This window comes from Homo sapiens, chromosome 17 (genome assembly GCF_000001405.40).
Source record: "Homo sapiens chromosome 17, GRCh38.p14 Primary Assembly".
Lineage (NCBI taxonomy): Eukaryota > Metazoa > Chordata > Mammalia > Primates > Hominidae > Homo > Homo sapiens.
In genome coordinates this window covers 9,034,038-9,053,295 of record NC_000017.11, presented here as the reverse complement: position 1 = coordinate 9,053,295, position 19,258 = coordinate 9,034,038, and the positions used below count along the sequence as shown (strand labels likewise).

At 42.3% G+C, this 19,258-nt stretch overlaps 1 protein-coding gene across 3 annotated transcripts in view, besides 5 other annotated features; it reads right to left on the bottom strand.

Annotated features, from left to right (window-relative positions):
- NTN1 (netrin 1) overlaps positions 1-19,258 on the bottom strand; it is a 240,914-nt gene that overhangs the window by 190,705 nt on the left and 30,951 nt on the right. The gene's annotated exons all lie outside the window — the stretch shown is intronic.
- Positions 605-1,262: an enhancer, noted in NCBI's record as "H3K27ac-H3K4me1 hESC enhancer chr17:8955351-8956008 (GRCh37/hg19 assembly coordinates)". NCBI's record gives its function as "activates a minimal SCP1, AML or CMV promoter by ChIP-STARR-seq in naive H9 embryonic stem cells {active_cell/tissue: H9 hESC(naive)}" and the evidence as "EXISTENCE:reporter gene assay evidence [ECO:0000049][PMID:30033119]".
- Positions 1,263-1,922: an enhancer, noted in NCBI's record as "H3K27ac-H3K4me1 hESC enhancer chr17:8954691-8955350 (GRCh37/hg19 assembly coordinates)". NCBI's record gives its function as "activates a minimal SCP1, AML or CMV promoter by ChIP-STARR-seq in naive H9 embryonic stem cells {active_cell/tissue: H9 hESC(naive)}" and the evidence as "EXISTENCE:reporter gene assay evidence [ECO:0000049][PMID:30033119]".
- Positions 1,263-2,580: a biological region, named in NCBI's record as "H3K27ac-H3K4me1 hESC enhancers GRCh37_chr17:8954033-8954690 and GRCh37_chr17:8954691-8955350".
- Positions 1,850-2,144: a silencer, noted in NCBI's record as "tiled region #1005; HepG2 Repressive non-DNase unmatched - State 22:ReprW, and K562 Repressive non-DNase unmatched - State 24:Quies". NCBI's record gives its function as "represses a minimal TATA promoter and a strong SV40 promoter by Sharpr-MPRA in HepG2 and K562 cells {active_cell/tissue: HepG2 | K562}" and the evidence as "EXISTENCE:reporter gene assay evidence [ECO:0000049][PMID:27701403]".
- Positions 1,923-2,580: an enhancer, noted in NCBI's record as "H3K27ac-H3K4me1 hESC enhancer chr17:8954033-8954690 (GRCh37/hg19 assembly coordinates)". NCBI's record gives its function as "activates a minimal SCP1, AML or CMV promoter by ChIP-STARR-seq in primed H9 embryonic stem cells {active_cell/tissue: H9 hESC(primed)}" and the evidence as "EXISTENCE:reporter gene assay evidence [ECO:0000049][PMID:30033119]".

Below are 19,258 nucleotides of genomic sequence, written 5' to 3'. Positions count from 1 at the left end.
CGGGTCTAGGGGAAAGGCTTAGGAGAAGGGTCAACAAATTTTTCTGTAAAGAGCCAGATAATAAGTATTTTAGCCTCTGCAGGCCACATGGTCTCTGTTGCAACAACTCAATCCTGCTGTTGTATGGAAAGCGGCCACAGACAATACATAAACAAATGGGCGTGGCTGTGTTCCAATAAGAGTTTATTTACAAAAACAGGCAACAGACAGAATTTGGCCCACGGGCTACAGTTTGCCAATTACATCGTCATCCAAGTTCAACAATGGGAAAGAATCAACTTTGGGCCTGGTTCTTAATCCACATAATAACAGCAAAGTCAGTTAAGTCATAAATTCCCTGAAACCAATGCTATTTCAGAAGCAGCTATTGAGAGGCCAGAGCTGCCACAGGGACAGAGAGGTGGTAAGGATATGGCCCCTCTGCCCGGGGGCTCTGTGTCAGTCATGGATTAGGTAGGATTTTGTTTGGATACACAAGTGGTACCACACTCTGTATATCATGCAGTCCTGTCTATGAGCATACAGATGGATTTATGTTTATTTGTCTTGGAGACAGGGTCTTGCTATGTTGCCCAGGCTGGCCTTGAACTCCTGGGCTCAAGCTATCTTCCTACCTCAGGCTCCTGCATAGCTGGGACTACTGATATGCACCACTAAACCCAGCTCTAGACTTATATTTTTACCTGCAGCCTTATATTCTAAAGCATGAATACATTGATTTGGTGTATAACCATTTCCTTATTGGTAGATGTTAAGGTTTTTCTCTCCTTCTCTCTCATATATATGTGCAAGTGTGTTTGTCCCAGACTTATTGATGTTCGATTGATGTACCTATTACCAACAAGTCTGAGACCAACACACTTGCACATGCCTTTTTGTGCACATATGTGTTTCTCTAGGGTGGGTACTGAGAGGTGGACCTGCCGGGGTCATAGGGAAAGCACATATAACATGCCCTCAATCATTCCAATGTTCAATGATTATGCCCTTAACTCAGGCTCACCCTCTTACAAATGTGCCTTTGGGGCCGGGAGTGGTGGCTCATGCCTGTAATCCCAGCACTTTGGGAGGCCGGGGCAGGCAGATCACCTGAGGTCAGAAGTTCGGGACCAGCCTGACCAACATGGAGAACCCCATCTCTACTAAAAATACAAAATTAGCCAGGCATGGTGGCGCGTGCCTGTAATCCCAGCAACTTGAGAGTCTGAGGCAGGAGAATCGCTTGAACCCAGAAGGCAGAGGTTGCAGTGAGCTGAGATCGCATCATTGCATACCAGCCTAGGCAGCAAGAGCGAAACTCCGCGTCAAAACACAAAATACAAAAAAAAAAAACCCAAACGTGTCTTTGGTCACATGGGAGACTCAACTGGCAGAACATGGAGGGGCCTATACAAAAACATAGATGAAAAAACTACCCGTTTTGCTTTACTTTAAAATAATCAATTAAGCGGGGGATGGATAGACACTGGTCAAAGGGTACAAAATCACCTCTCAGTTAGACAGGATGAACAAGTTAGAAAGATCTATTGTACAGTCTGGTGACTATAACTAACAAGAATGTACTGTATACTTCAAAATTGCTGGGAGTAGACCTTAAATGTTCTCACTCAAAAAAAAATAATTACGTGAGGTGATGGCTATATTAATTAGCTTGATTGTGGTCATGATTTCACAATGCATATGTATAGCAAAACTTCATGTTACATATTGTAAATACATACAATTTTTGTCAATTATACCTCAATAAAGCTGGAGGAAAAATAATCCATTAAGAAAACTAGCCCGGCACATACACCCACATACTGCAAAGTGGAGAGGGGTTGGAATTGAAGACAGGTACAAGGAGCCCCACCTTGGCCTGTTGCACAGTCCCCGCTCTGGGAGCACTGGCTCTTATTTACCTCTAACGAATCCGGACCCAGGGTCAGCAACAGAAGCAATCCCGGGAGGGGAGCTCTAAGGCAGGTTCTTGGCATTCCTGGAGTGTTTACCGGGATGGTGGGGCCTGTCTGCGAGCTCCAAGGAGTTGGATTTCTGAACTCAAATACCAAGCCAGGCCTGGCACTGGCCAGGTTGAGCCTTCTTTTGTGTCTGCAAACCCTTTTTGTTTGAAGTCGGTGTAACTTTAAGTGGCCTGCCAAGGAGAGCCTGTGAGAAAGCTCCCAGGCCAGGCTGCCTTCCCGAGGGTCCCCAGGGTGTCCTCTGCCTGCCAGAGCCACCTCCCATCTCAACCTGGGTCAAAATCCTCTCTCTCCCAGGACACACCTTTTCTCAGCTAACAGGACAGGGGGCTTCGATGGCTCCTTGCCAAGCTGAAACAGCCTAGTGGACAGGATTGGTTCTTTTGCTCCAGGGCAAGAGGGAGACTGGGAGCTGACTCATGGAGAAAATATCTCTGGGTGCTTGAACCACAGGGGAGGGCCAGCATTTCCTGAGCACCTGGTAAGGCAGGCACTGCACTTAGCATCTCACATACATCATTTCATTTACCCTTCCAGTGATCCTAGGACATAGACATGGTCATCCCCGTTTCACAGATGAAAACGAGGCTGAGAGGCTCTGGATTTAGCTGGTACATGACAGAGCTGGGAGTCCAGCTAGGGTTTTTTTTTTTTTTTTTTTTTTTTGAGATGGAGTCTCGCTCTGTCGCCCAGGCTGGAGTGCAGTGGCGCAATCTCAGCTCACTGCAGCCTCTGCCTCCCAGGTTCAAGCGATTCTCTGTCTCAGCCTCCCGAGTGGCTGGGATTACAGGCGTGCACCGCCATGCCTGGCTAATTTTTGTATTTTTAGTAGAGATGGGGTTTCGTCCTGTTGGCCAGGCTGGTCTCAAACTCCTGGCCTCAAGTGATCCGCCCACTTCAGCCTCCCATAGTGCTGGGATTACAGGTGTGAGCCACCACGCCTGGCCCCAGCTAGGGTTTGTATGATTCCAAAGCCCAAGTTCCTTCTACACCAATAGCTTTCAAAGCAGGACTCACGATGCTCAAGGGCAGTGACATTTATTGTTATTATTTATTTTTATTTTATTTTTATTTTTTTTTATTTTTTTGAGACAGAGTCTCACTCTGTCGCCCAGGCTGGAGTGCAGTGGCGCAATCTCAGCTCACTGCAAGCTCTGCCTCCCAGGTTCATGCCATTCTCCTGCCTCAGCCTCCCGAGTAGCTGGGACTACAGGCGTCCACCACCACACCTGGCTAATTTGTTTGTATTTTTAGTAGAGACGGGGTTTCACCATGTTAGCCAGGATGGTCTCAATCTCCTGACCTCATGATCCACCCGCCTAGGCCTCCCAAAGTGCTGGGATTACAGGCGTGAGCCACTGCGCCTGGCCGACATTTATTATTTTTTAATATGAAATAATTTTAGGCTTATAAAAAGTTGCAGAATGGTACAACAAATTTCTGTGAACTCTTCATTCAGTTTCCCCCAGATATTACTCTCTTACATACCCATCCTACAATGATCAAAACCCGAAAATCGAAATGGGTGCAATACTATTACCTAATCTACAAACCTTATTCAAATCTTGCCAACTGTCCCGCACATGTCTTTGTCTAGATCCAATTCAGAATCTTACACTGCCTTTTGGTCTCACGTCTCCTTAGTCTCCTCCAGTCTATGACAATTCCTCAGTCTCTTTTTGTCTTTAATGACCTTCATAGTCCTAAAGAGTAATGGCCAGTTATTTTCTAGAATGTCTCTCATTTGGGATCATCTCGTATTTCCTCAAAATTAAATTCAGGTTAGCAAGAATCCTGCAGAAGCAAAGTATTCTTCCTGGGCCATCATATCACATATCAGGTGGCACATGATGTCACTATGTCCATTACTGGTGATGTTAATTCTGAACAGTTGGTTCAGGTGGCCCATTACTGGTGATGTTAATTCTGATCAGTTGGTTCAGGTGGCCCATTACTGGTGATGTTAATTCTGATCAGTTGGTTCAGGTGGCATCTTTAGGTTTCTTCACTGTAAGTTATTCTTTTTCCTTCTGTGGTTGCGGGAAGGTACTCTAACTAGCATTATGCAAATATTCTATTTTTCATCATATTTTTACCCCCTAACTTTAGCAGACCTTGTGATTCTTGCCTCCAACTATTACCACGAACTTTTTGTCAAATGGTGATTTTCTATTTTCACCATTCTTTCTTTCATTTCATTTTTTACAATTATTATTTGGAATTCTACTGAAATCAGTGGACAGTGATTCTTAAAACTCTGTGTACACTTGTTTCATCTAATGCATTCACCAAAGTGCAGATTTCTAGGCTCCATCCCAGAGATTTTACTTCATTAAGCCAGGAAAAGGCTAAGAAATGCTTATTTTAAGAAGCATTTTCCGCCGGGCGCGGTGGCTCATGCCTGTAATCCCAACACTTTGGGAGGCCAAGGCAGATGGATCACCTGAGGTCAGGAGTTTGAGACCGGCCTGAACAACATGGTGAAACCCCATCTCTACTAAAAATACAAAATCAGCTGGGTGCGGTGGTGGGCACCCACAATCTCAGCTACTTGGAAGGCTGAGGCAGGAGAATTGCTTGAACCCGGGAGACAGAAGTTACAATGAGCCAAGATTGCGCCACTGCACTCCAGCCTGGGTGACAGAGCAAGACTCTGTCTCAAAAAAAAGAAAAAAAAAAAGTGGCTACACTACACAACAGATTTTCAGTGTAGACAAAACAGCTTTCTATTGGACGAAGACGCCATTTCATAGATACAGAGGAGAAGTCAATGCCTAGCTTCAAAGGACAGGCTGATTATGTAGGGGCTAATACAGCAGGTGAGTTTAAGTTAAAGCCAATGCTCATTTACTATTCTGAAAATCCTAGGGCCCTTAAAAATTTGGCTAAAACCACTCTGCCTGTGCCCTATAAATGGAACAACAAAGCCTGGAGGACAGCAAATCTGTTTACAGCATGGTGTACTTAATATTTTAAGCCCACTGTTGAGACCTACTGCTCAGAAAGAAAAAAAAAAAAAAGATTCCTTTCAAAATATTACTGCTCATTGACAATGCATCTCATCACCCAAGAGCTCTGATGGAGACGTCCAAGGAGATGAATGTTGTTTTCATGCCTGCTAACACAACATCCATTCTGCAGCCCATGGACCAAGGAGTAATTTCTACTTTCAAGCCTTTATTTGTTTTTATTGTTTTTATTGGCTTTATTTAAGAAACACATTTTGTAAGGCTATAGCTGCACAGATGGTGATTCCTCTGATGAATCTTGGCAAAGTAAATTGAAAACCTTCTGAAAAGGATTCACCATTCTAGATGCCATTAAGAAAACTCGTGATTCAGCCGAGCACAGTGGCTGATGCCTGTAATCCCAGCACTTTGGGAGGCCGAGGCGGGTGGATCACCTGAGGTCAGGAGTTCAAGACCATCCTGGCCAATATAGTGAAACCCCTCCTCTACTAAAAATACAAAAAATTAGCCAGGCGTGGTGGCAGTCGCCTGTAATCCCAGCTACTTGGGAGGCCCAGGCAGGAGAATCCCTTGAACCCAGGAGGCAGAGGATGCAGTGAGCCGAGATCGCGCCATTGCACTCCAGTCTGGGCAACAAGAGTGAAACTCCATCTCAAAAAAAAAAAAAAGAAAATTCGTGATTCATGAGAGGAGGTCAAAATATCAACATTAACAGGAGTTTGGAAGTAATTTCAACCCTCATAAATAACATTAAGGAGTTCAAAACTTCAGTGGGGGAAATAATTACAGATGTGGTAAAAACAGCAAAAGAACTAGAAATAGAAGTGGCGCCTGAAGATGTGACTGAATCACTCCAATCTCATGATAAAACCTGAACAGATGACGAGTCGCTTCTTATGGATGACAAAGAAAGTGGTTTCTTGAGATGGACTCTACTCCTGGTGAAGATGCTATGAGCATTGTTGAAATGACAACAAAGGTTTTAGAATATTCCATCAACTTATTTGATATAGCAGCAGCAGGGTTTGAGAGGATCGACTCCAATTAGGAAAAAAGTTCTACTGTGGGTAAAATACTATTATGCAGCTACAGCAAAATCTTTCATGAAAGGAAGAGTGAGTTGATGTGGCAAACTGCACTGCTGTCTTACTTTAAGAAATTACCACCCAGCCTTTAGCAACCACCACCCTGATTAGTCAGTAGCCATCAACAGCGAGGAAAAGCCCTCCAACAGTGACAAGATTATGACTTGCTGAAGGCTCAGGTGATCGTTAGCATTTTTTAGCAATAAAGTATTTTAAAATTAAGATATGTATATGTTTCAGATATAATGCTACTGTACACTTAACAGACTACAGTATAGCGTAAACATAACTTTTATATGCACTGGGAGACCAAAAAATTTGTATGACTTGCTTTATTGAGATACTCCCTTTATTGCAGTGGTCTGGAACTGAACCTATAATATCTGTAAGGTGTGTTCGTGTATCTAGGAATGGAATTGCTGGATCGTATCACAACTCATTTCAGAGGGATTATTTTCTTTTGTTTTTTCTCTTTTTTATTTATTTATTTTTTTGGAGACAGGGTCTTTCTCTGCCAACCAGGCTGGAGTGCAGTAGCACAATCTCAGCTTACTGTAACTCGACCTCCTGGGCTCAAGCGATCCTCCTGCCTGAGCCTCTCTAGTAGCTGAAACTACAAGCACATACCACCGTGCCCAGCTAATTTTCATCTTTTTGGTAGAGACAGGGTTTCGCCATGTTGCCCAGGCTGGTCTTGAACTCCTGGGCTCAAGCAATCCTTCCACCTTGGCCTCCCGAAGTACCGGGATCGTAGGCATGAGCCACCATGCCTGGACTCTTATTTGGGGGGTTTCGGAAGGGATTATTTTCAAAAGTAGCCATATCATTTTACATTCCCACCAGCAGTACATGAGGGTTTCAATTTCTCCATGGCCTTACCAACACTTGTTATTACCTTTCTTTTCAAGTATAGCCATCCTAGTGAATGTAAAGTGGTATCTCATTGTGGTTTTGATTTATAGTTCCCTGATGGCTAATGATTTAGTGCATCTTTTAATGTGCTTACTGGCCATTTGTGTATCTTCTGTGGAAAAACATCCACTGAAGTTCTTTGCCCGTTTCTAAACTGGGTTGTCTTTTGTTGTTGAGTTCTAAGATTTATTACATATTCCTTACACATTCTACACCTTCATCACACGTGATTTACAAATATTTTCCCCCATCCCATGGGTTGTCTTTTCATTTTCTTGATTGTATCTTTGAAGCACAAGTTTTAAATTTTGATAAAGTCCAATTTATGTTTTTTCTTTGATTCCACCTAAGAATTTGATTCAAGTGGTCTATGGACCACTCTGTTGAAATTCTCCAGGGGTTTGCTAATGATGATACGGAAATGACACTTAGAAAATTTAGTAGCATACAGTTGTTTATCACATTACCTTACTTTTTTTAAGTCTCTGATGGATCTCTAGTTATGTCTCTTTTTCATTCCTAATGTTATTCATTTGTGCCTCCTCTTTTTCTTGACCAATCTTTCCAGATATTTGTTTATTTTATTAGTCCTTCCAAACAATCAACTTTTGGCTTGGGTTGATCTTCTCTGCTGAATATTTGTTTTCTGGCTCATTGACTTCTGCTCTTATTTTTATCTCTCCTTCCCTGCCCCCATCTCCTTTTCTGGCTTATTCTATTAATTTTTTTCTAACTTCTTAAATTAGATACTTAGCTCATTAATTTTCAGCCTTTCTCATGGTTCTGGTATTCTGTGAAACACACTCCTCTCTTTAGCATCCCATCTTTCTTCCATGAATTAATCACCCCTTGGCAGAAGGATAAGGAGAAATGGAGGCAGGCGTGAAGCTGGGTCGCCTGCCCGTTTCTGTAGGAAGCTGCCTATGGAAATGCTCTTCCACAGAGCTGAGAGCTCCCGGGGGTGGTGTTGGCATATCCCACAGCCAAACCAAGCCATTTGGGGTCATATTTCATGACGGGAGGTGGCACCCCATGTCAGTGAGTCGCTGTGGCCTCACCATCCTTTCCTTGCAGACTGATTTCTATTTCAGCAAATCCCCTTTGCCAGGCCAAAAGGCAATGAGGCAGATGCTCATGTACAGACGGGAGTGAGCCAAAGCAATAAACTCAGCCCCAGCTGTCGGCTCAAACTGCTCCAGCTTCAGGCTAGGAATCATTCTGGCCTCTTCTTTGCTTCTAATCCTATTCCCAGTTAATTCCATCCCTGGCAGCACTTAGTAGTGAACCCCAAAACCACCATCCTAGAGTGTGAGCACGGGAAAGAACTGAGAGGCCAACTTCCCCTGTGTACCAAGGAGGAGTCCGAGGCCGGGGTCATAATCCATTCAAGTTAATGACAGTGCATTTTTTTCCTGTATCTGTACAAATTAACCTAGCTTTGTGTATAATGTACTCTGCTCTGAATTCTACTTTTCGCATACTGTTTTGTGACCCCCCGCTTTTACTCTGTGCTAATTTGCCTTATGTACTTTTGCACATGTTAATATTTAAGAAGTTGAATGACTTTGTCACTTAATCTGTGGAAGATCGAGTTACATGTTAAAGACTTCCATGAATATTTTTTTTTGCCCCAAGCAGGCAAAAAGGAAAACAAGAATATAGAGTATCTGGAGAATAAAATCCCAATTAGATTGAGTCAATAAATATAAACATTGTGCCCTACAAACAGGATTCCTCTTCAATTCCTGCGGAACACTGACAAGAGGTGATCTTACATACACATGAGATTATTCTAAAAAACAAACAAAAACCAAACTAAAAAACATGCCAGAGGCTGGGGTGTGGTGGCTCATGTCTATAATGCCTGCACTTTGGGAGGCTGAGGCAGGTGGGATCACCTGAGGTCAGGAGTTCGAGACCAGCCTGGCCAACACGGTGAAACCCCGTCTCTACTAAAAATACAAAAACTAGCCAGGCATGGTGGCACACACCTGTAGTCCCAGCTATTTGGGAGGCTGAGGCAGGAGAATAGCTTGAACTTGGGAGGCGGAGGTTGCAGTGAGCCGAGATCGCGCCATTGCACTCCAGCCTGGGCCGCAGAGTGAGACTCCGCCCCAAAAAGGAAAAAAAAAAAGTACCGGAAACAGCAAAAAAAATTGGACATTTAAAAAAATATTTTAAAGGATATAACCTCCTGGAGATGAAAACCCAATTCATAAATAACTCCAGGAACAAAAGGAATATCAAAACTACAATGACACAGTCATTGTAAAAACAGTGACAATGAGAGCAGCACAAATCAAAACCTATGGGAAGTGGTCAACGCTACTCTAGAGAGGAAAAGTCATTAACTTAGTTTTAATGCTCAACAGGAATAAGAAAATAATGTTAGTTGAACTGAGCATTCAACTCAAAAAATTAGGATAACCACAGAGAAGCCTAGGTAAGAAATTAATAAAGATAAAAAAATTAAGAGAATTACAAGATGATGCCAGGTGCAGTGGTTCACGCCTGTAATCCCAGCACTTTCAGAAGCCGAGGCGGGTGGATCACCTGAGGTCCGGAGTTTGAGACCAGCCTGACCAACATGGTGAAACCCCGTCTCTACTAAAAACACAAAATTAGCCAGGCGTGGTGACACATGCCTGTAATCCCAGCTACTCAGGAGGCTGAGGCAGCAGAAAGAATTGCTTGAACCCGGGAGGTGGAGGTTGTGGTGAGCCAAGATCGCGCCATTGCATTCCAGCCTGGGCAACAAGAGGGAAACTCCATCTCAACCAAAAAAAAAAAAGAGAGAGATTAGAGAGACAATTAGAAGATGATAAAAAAGCATTTAAAAATAAGCAGCAGTCTGGAATAGTGGATAAAAGAACCCGCTTTGAAAACTGACAGATCCTTTTTAATTCCGGCCCTGGGTTTTGCAGCTCTGTGACTCTGGGCAAGCTAAATTTCTTAACTACTCAACTATATGTAAAATGGGAATAATTTTGCTCAATTCACAGTGTTATAGATTTTTTAAATTAGAAAGTGCATCCAAAATATTTAGCATAGGGTCTAGGACACAGTGAGTGTTCATTAAATATGATCAAATGTTATTATTATCACTTTCACAAATGTACAAAAAGCAAACAAACCTAGGCAAAGAGAGAGTGAGAAAAAATGTTTGCTATTAGCAATTAGAAAGGTGATATAGCCATATATGAACATTAAAAAATATTTTAGTGATTATTATATAGAATCCTATGCTTGAAAAATGAAAATCTGGGTAAATGATTTTTAAAAAAAAACAAATTACCAGATTTGACTCAAAAAGCAGTTGAAAAATTTCTGAATAAACACATAAGTATGGAAGAAATTGAAATGGTTGTCAAATAACTACTTTCAAAAATGACACAGGGCTCAGATGGGCTAATTCTAACAAACCTTCAAGGACCAGCTATTTCTCATGTTACTTAAACTATTCCAGAGCATAAAATAGAATGGAAACTTCCCACTTCATTTTATAAGGTTAAAACAGCCTTGATACAAAAGGCAATATAAAGTGACAAAAGGTCAGACAAATCTCACTTTTTTTTTTTTTTTGAGATGGAGTCTCGCACTATCGCCCAGTCTGGAGTGCAGTGGCGCAATCTCGGCTCACTGCAACCTCTGCCTCCTGGGTTCAAGTGATTCTTCTGCCTCAGCCTCCTGAGTAGCTGGGACTGCAGGAGCACGCCACCACACCCAGCTAATTTTTGTATTTTTAGTGGAGACGGGGTTTCACCATGTTGGTCAGGCTGGTCTTGAATTCCTGACCTCATGATCTGCCCGCCTCGGCCTCCCAAAGTGGTGGGATTACAGGCGTGAGCCACCGCGCCAGCCTCACAGTTTTTTTTTTTTTAAGGGACAGAGTCTCACTATGTTGTGGAGTACAGTGGCTATTCACAGGTGCAGTCATAGCGCATTATAGCCTCAAACCCCTCGCTCGTGCAATCTTCCTGCCTCAGCCTCTCGAGAACTGAGACTAGAGAGGCGCGCCATCACACCCAGCTCAAATCTCACTTTTGAATATAGGCATAAAAATCTAAAATAAAATGTTAGTAAAGAATAACACATCACCAAATAGATACATTCCAAGAATGCTGGAATATTTCAAACTTAGGAAATCACACAAGCACAACAAGATACCCCTTCACACCCACCAGAATGGCTATAATCAAAATGATAGATAGTAAGTGTTTTCAAGGGTATGGAGAAACTAGGATCCCCATATGTTGCTGGTGGGTTCTAGGGTCCTAGGAACAGTATAACTGCCTGAAAACCAATCTGGCATTCCTCAAAAAGTTAAACACAGTTAGTTGTCTTTTTTTTTTTTTTCTTTTTGACAGAGTCCCACTCTGTCGCCCAGGCTGGAGTGCAATGGCCCAATCTCAGCTCACAGCAACCTCCACCTCCCGGATTCAAGCAATTCTCATGCCTCAGCCTCCCGAGTGGCTGGGACTACAGATGTGTACCACCACACCTGGCTAATTTTTATATTTTTAGTAGAGACGAAGTTTCACCACGTTGGCCAGGCTGGTCTCGAACTCCTGACCTCCAGTGATCCACCCGCCTCCGCCTCCCAAAGTGCTGAGATTACAGGCATGAGCCACCGCACCTGGATGAGATAGTTGTCTTATAACCCAACAATTCCACTGCTAGGTAGATACCCCAGAGAAAGCAGATGTCCACACAAAAACCTGTAAACCAATGCTCATAGCAGCATTATTCATAAGAGCCAAAAAATGGACACAACTCAAATGTCCATCAACTGATGAATGAATCAAAATTTGATATGTTTACATAATGGAATTCAGCCATTAAAAGGAAATGAAGTACTGCTATAACATGGATGAACCATGAAAACATTATGCTAATTGAAAGACGTCAGTCACAAAAGGCCATATGTTACGTGATTCTATTTATATGAAATGTCCAGAATAGGCAAATCTGTAAAGATCAAAAGCCTACTTAGGGTGTGGGTGCAGATCAGGGTGAAGGATGGAAAGTGACTGCTAATTCGTAGAAAGCTCCTTTTGGGGATGACAAAAATGTTATAGGATTAGTTTCAGTTATGGTTGTACCAATCGACGAACATACTAAAAACCACTTTCCATGGGTGAATTGTATGACATGTGAATTATACCTCAGAAATCAATTAAAGAAATGCATTACATTAATAGTCAAAGCAGAAAAATGATATGATCATTTTGATTAATATCTAAAGGATTAACATTCTACATATTCTTGAATATTTTTTAAAAAAAGAGCACAGTTTGGGAGTCTCAGGCAGGAGGATCACTTGAACCCAGGAGTTTAAGATCAGCTTGGGCAACACAGCAAGACCTCATCTCTACAAAAATTTCTTTAAAAAATTAGCTGGGCATGGTGCACACCCATAGTCTCAGCTACTCAAGAGTGTGAGGTAGGAGGATTGCTTTAGCCCAGGAGGTTGAGGCTGCAATGAGCTATGATTGATCATGCTACTGCACTCCAGCCTGGGCAACCAATCAAGACCTTATCTCTCCAACAAAAAAACAAACAAAAAAAAAAGTAAGAAAGAGCAACCCTCCCAGTAAGTCAGGAATAGAGGTCTCTCCATTGAGTACAATAAAGAACATCCATATGAAACTAGCAACAAACAACATATTTAACAATGAAACTCTAGAAATGTGCTCACTTAAATCAGTAGTAATACAAGAGTACATTACCATTATTATATATACCATTACTTTGACATTCTATCCAATGCAGTAAGACAAGAAAAATAAATAGTACAAGTATTGGAAAAGAAGGGCTAAAATATTCATATATATAGTTGAAGTCCAGAGAAACTGAAACACTGTGAGAACGAATTAAAAAGAGTTTAGTAAAGCTGAAGGTTGCAAAATACATAAAAATGTATATATAGTTCATAGCTTTTCTATACATTGTAATACCCACTTAGAAAATAAAATGAGAAGGAAAAAATCCCTTTCATAATAGTAATCAAAATTATAAATACATAGAAGTAAACTCTTCTGAAAAAATGTGTGATGCTAATATAAAGAAATTTATGAACCTTACTGAATAGCATAAAAGAAGACATAAATAAATGTAGATGTTCTATACTTCCAAATTGTAAAACTTAAAATTGGAAGGGTATCTACCACACATCTATTGGAATGGCTAAAATTTCTAAAAGATTGGCCATATCAAATGCTGATGAGGAAATGGACTGGAGAAACTAGAACTCTCATACACTGCAGATATAGATGTAAAGTGGTACTACCATTTTGGAAAATAGTTTGACAGTTTATTAAAAGTTAGACCTACACCTACTGTATCATCCAGCCAATCCACTCTTAGGTATTTGCCCAAGAGAGATGAAAGTGTATGTCCATGCAAAGACTTCTAAAAGAATGTTCATAGCTGCTTTACCTGTAATAGCCAAAAACTAGAAACAAGCTAAATGCCCATCAGCAGGTGAATGGAAAAATTGTGGTATAGCAATACAATGAATACCCCCCCAGAAATAAAAAGGATTGAACTATTAATGCACTTAACATGATGGATGAATAAATAATCCAACTAAGCATGGAAGGTGAAAGAAACCAGACCACACGTACCGTATGATTCCATTTACACAAAACTCTAGAAAAGGCAAACAGATATACAATGACAGAAGGCACCATGGTGGAAAGGGGCAGGAGGGATTACCAAGACAGCAGGAACATTTTGGGCTGATGGATATGTTATTTATCTTGATTGTGGTGATGGTTTCACAGGTGTATACATAAGTCAAACTTACCAAGTTATACTTTTTATATATGTGCAATTTACTGAACAATTATATCTCAATAAATCTGTAAAAAAAAATCATCTGGAAGAATCAAAGAGAAACACATAAGTACAATTCATGATTTTGACCAGACTTAAAACCTACTTTTCTGATATCCTAAAAGCCCTATTGGGTACATTTAAATAATCAAATCATTACATACAAGAGACATGTTGATACAGTTACAATGTTTTCAACTATCACCAAGTTCATTTTAACAACACTGCTGTCAAATTACTAATGGCATTTGTAATGAAACTTGACAAACTCATCTAAAGCCAATAAATAAATATATAAAGAAACAAGCAAGCAAGAATAGCAATGAGAATAAGTGAAAATGAACAGATGAATAATGAGTGAATACTGAACCTACCAGATACTGAAATATCCAAACAGATAGAAAGTGGCAGGAAAACAGATTTGTGAAACAAAATGGAAAAATCCAGAGAACAGATCCAAGTTTATATAATACTTAAGCATTTAATAAATATGGCATCTCAAATCAGTGACAAAAAATGATGTTTCTCAATAGTTGTCACTGAATAACTGGCTAAATATTTGATGAAAAAATGGATATCCTTACCTCACACCATATGTCACGATTAATTCCAGATGTGTGAAAGATTAAAATATATTACTTCGAGTTCTGGCAACAAGGTGGACTGAGGTAATGCAGAACCCCTACCACTGCAAGCATCTAGAAATACTAGATGAAATGTAAGTTTAAAAAAATTTAATGAATAGCAGATCTCATAAGAAATAAAAGGAAATCCCCAGGTGCTAGAGGAAAGAAAAATCTGAAAGCCAAAGTGTTAAGAGAAACCCTGAGACCCCAGTGATCATGAGGTGTGTGGGAGGAGGGAGGGAACAGCAGGGAGGATAGAGAAAGGGGAAAGACTGACTGATTATTAGACCTGGAAACAGGCTTTAATGCCTTGAGCTTAGGATTTAGCACCCACACACAGACCGGAGATAAGGCCTCAGGTCTTGCAAGCCCAGGAGTTGCAAATGGGACCCCTGCTTTCTTTATCAAATATTTAATAAGCACCTACTTATGCCAGGCCCCCTGTGAATAAAAGAGAATTCCTGACCTTATGTACCTTAACATTCCAACAAGTGATAGAAAGGAACAAATGGGAGGAGGGGAAAACAATTAAGAACATAATAAATAAGTAAATTAAATAGTGTCTTAGGTGGTATGAGTGTTATGGGGAAAAGGAGTTAGTAGGGGAGGATAAGGGTGATCTCAGGTGTGTGTGTGTGTGGAGAGAGAGAAAGAGAGGAGAAGACAGAGAAAGAGAGAGAGACACAGAGAGAGAGAGTCCGATAGACACAAATAGGGGAGCTGTTTGCAGTATAAATAGAATAGTCCGGGTAAGCCTCACAGAAGTGATATTTGACCAAAGACTTGAAGGAACCTAGGGAGTCATTTATTTGCATATTTGGGCCTATCTCAAGCCCAGACTCAGCTGCTGTACCAGGGCTATAAGCTGTGTACCCACTAACAGCAAGGAGGCCTGGGAGCTGGAACAGACTGAGTGAGCAGCAAAGTGCCAGGAGATGAGAATAGAGAGGAAGCAGGGGCCAGACCACACAGGGCTTTGCAACCGTTGTAAGTGTTCTGGGTGTTCCTCTGAGTGAACAGGGAACTAACACACAGGCAGTTACCTCTGGCTGCTGTGTTAAGAAGAGACCAGGGAGGCTGAGGGACAAAGATAAAGGAAGGGAGACCAGCTAGGAAACTGCAGCTGTAATCGCAGTAGCAGAAAAACCTGGACCTTCCAAATGCCCCCTGGGTCAAAAGGGGACGAAGAAGCTTTGTCCATCGGGCTAAGGTGACAGCAAAAATTTGTCTCTACCTAGAGTTCTGGGTAAAGGCAGAAAAAGTCCTCAGTGAGGGAGAAAAATAAACCCCAGGCCTGGGAAGGTTTAGAGGCCAAGTACATACTCCTCATTTGATATAATAATTTTCAAGATGATTAATTAATGGAAAATTTGGTCCTAGTCCAGTGATACCTCTAGAATGTCTGGCAGAATTAATGCAAAATCATATGGATAGGGGCATTTCCATAACTAACAGCAGTGGGATTTCCACGAAATCCCAAATAAAGATAAGCTCACAGTCAGAAAGTACAAAACACATAAGGAAATCATTCACCATGAGCAAAGGTCAGCAGACAAAATAAGCGAGAGGATCAGTATCCCCAAGAAGTTGAGATCATCCATCAAACTAACAAAGACTATAGGAAAAGTTATGTTTAAGACTATTTACAAGGAAATAAGGCTGAGCAAAAGAAACCAGATATTGAAGAGAACATACAGTATGATTTCAATTACATAAAGTTCAAAAATAGGCAAATTAAATCTATTGTGTTGGAAGTCAAAATGGTGGTTACCCTGGGGGGTTGGGAGGAGCCTTCTGGAAATACTGTATTTCTTCATGTTAGTGGTAGACACAGAGGTGAGCTCACTTTGTGAAAATTCATACACCTGAACACTCATGATTTAAAGAGAGAAGACCAGCTAGCGAACACACTGGAAGGCAAAGAGGGAGAGTCCCATGTCCCCACCCCTGCAAGTGGAAGAGCTGGAGAGTGGGAGGTGGGGAAATTGTCAGTAGGGTTGGAGGGTAGGCCCAAGTGAGGTCCTCCAGTTAGAGCCTGAGCAGTCCTTTGAGGGAACCCCAGTGGAGGGGTAGGGTTGGAAAATGTATCATTCAAGTTATAGAGCTGCTTCTGGTTGAGCAGGGAATGGGGTGAGTTCGTTAAGGAAGACTGAAGAAGTCCTCAGGAAGGCAGTATATTCCACTAGACCTACAGAATATCATTACATGACCTTTGTGACCCAACCCCTCGTTTTACAGGAGAGAACTGAGGCCCAGAGAAGTAAAGACACTTGTACAAAGTCACCTTTGCTTCCCAGTATTACTAGTTTTCCTGTCAGGGAGTATGCAGATTAAAGATAAGTGGCAGGCCAAGCAGGTGACTCATGCCTGTAATCTAAGCACTCTGAGAGGCTGAGGCAGGAGGATTGCTTGAACCCAGAAGTTCAAGGCTGCAGTGAGACGTGATTGCACCACTGTGCTCTAGACTGGATGACAGAGCGAGACCCTGTCTCTACAAAAAAAAAAAAAAAAAAAAAAAAAAAGATAAGAGACGACTTGGCCCAGTGGTGAAAAGCAAGCCTCCAGAGCTGCACTGCCTGGATTCCAATTCCAGTTCTGCCACCTGCTAGCTGTGTGACCTCAGGCACCTTAACTAACCTCCATGTGCCTCAGTTTCTTTGCCTGTAAAACTGTATACAGATATAAATTTGTACAACCACTTTCCACTAAATAGAGAGTTTAACCACTGTCTATTAAAGCTGAACAGGCCAGCCATGGTGGCTCACGCCTGTAATCCCAGCACCCTGGGAGTCTGAGAAGGAAGGATCCCTTGAGCCCAAGAATTCAAGACCAGCCTGGGTAACATAGTGAGACCCCCGTCTCTACAAATAATTTTTTCTTTTTTGAGATAGAGCCTTGCTCTATTGCTCAGGCTGGAGTGCAGTGGCACCATCTTGGCTCACTGCAACCTCCGCCTCCCAGGTTCAGGCAATTCTCATGCCTCAGCTTCCCAAGTAGCTAGGATTACAGGCGTGCACCACCATACCCGGCTAATTTTTGTATTTTTAGTAGAGATGGGGTTTCAATATGTTGGCCAGGCTGGTTTTGAACTCCTGACCTCAAGTGATCCACCTGCCTCAGCCTCCCAAAGTGCTGGGATGATAGGCATGATCCACCATGCCCAACCCTCTACAAATAATTTTTTTTAAATACCCAAGTGCGGTGATGTGCACCTGTGATCCCAGCTACTCAGGAGGCTGAAGCAGGAGGATCGCCTGAGCTCAGAAAGCTGGATGACAGGAGGCTGGGTGACAGAGACCTTGTCTCAAAAAATGTTAAAAATAAAAGTGAAATTGAACAGATGCCCAAACCCTAGGACCCAGCAATTCCCCTTCTTGATACACACCCAGCAGAAGTGCATTCAGATGTGCATCAAAAGACATGGACAAGTATGGTCACAGCAGTGCTACTGTTAATAGCCAAAACCTGGGAACAGCCCAAATGCCTGCCGTAAGTGGAGTGGAGAAATACCCTGTGATACATTTATATCACACAATACTGGCCAGCAATGGAAACTAAGAAACTACTACTATACATGGATGAAGACCACAAATGTAACATGGAGCAAAAGAAGCCAGAATATGATTCCATTTATACCAAGTTCAAAAATAATCAAAACCCGTCTGGGCACGGTGGCTCATGCCTGTAATCCCAGCACTTTGGGAGGCTGAGGCGGGCGGATCACAAGGTCAGGAGATCGAGACCATCCTGGCTAACACAGTGAAACCCCGTCTCTACTAAAAATACAAAAAATTAGCCGGGTGTGGTGGCGGGCGCCTGTAGTCCCAGCTACTCGGGAGACTGAGGCAGGAGAATGGCATGAACCTGGGAGGCGGAGCTTGCAGCGAGCCGCGATCACGCCACTGCACTCCAGCCTGGGCGACAGAGCGAAACTCCGTCTCAAAAAATAACAAATAAATAAAAAATAAACAAAAATAATCAAAACCCATGTATGGTGGGTAGGGGGCGTGGTAACTGGGTGGACGCACAGGTCAGCTTCTGGGTTGCTGGTATGTTCTTGATGCGGGTGCTGGTTATACAAGCGTGTGCATATCATGAATAGTCTTTGCACTGGACACATAATTCATGGGATTTTCTCTACATGTGTTACACTACAATAAAGAAGTTTACTTAAGAATAACAAGGCCAGGCGCAGTGGCTCACCCCTGTAATCCCAGCACTTTGGGAGGCTGAGGTGGGTGGATCACCTGAGGTCAAGAGTTCGAGACCAGCCTGGCCAGCATGGTGAAACCCCGTCTCCACTAAAAATACAAAAATTAGCTGGTCTTGGTGGTGCACGCCTGTAATCTCAGCTACTCGGGAGGCTGAGGTAGGAGAATATCTTGAATCTGAGAGGCGGAGGCTGTAGTGAGCTGAGATCGTACCACTGCACTCCAGCCTGGGTGACAGAGCAAGACTCTATCTTAAAAAAAAAGAAAAAGAAAAAAAAAAAGAATAACAAGCCCTGATAGGGCCGCTATGAGGATTAAATGAGGTAATACTTATAAAGGGCTTAGAACAGTACATGGTGATAATAAAGGCTATAGAAATGTGTGCTGATAAAATCCCAAGGTCTAGGATCAGAACCCTACCTCTGGGTCTCCTTCCTGTACCCCTCCTCTGAGCCCTCTTTCAAGGCAGAACACAGGGCTCCTCACACTCCCCACCCTATCCAATCTATCAAGGTGGTCTTGAGCTGGGCCCCCAGGACACCAAGGCATCAAAGGCACAGACAGCTTAATTTACCCAAGTCCACACTCCTGGTGGAACTGGAATTTAAACCCAGCCAGTCTGAAGTCAAAGACGGGTGTTCTCTCACCATTGTCCCT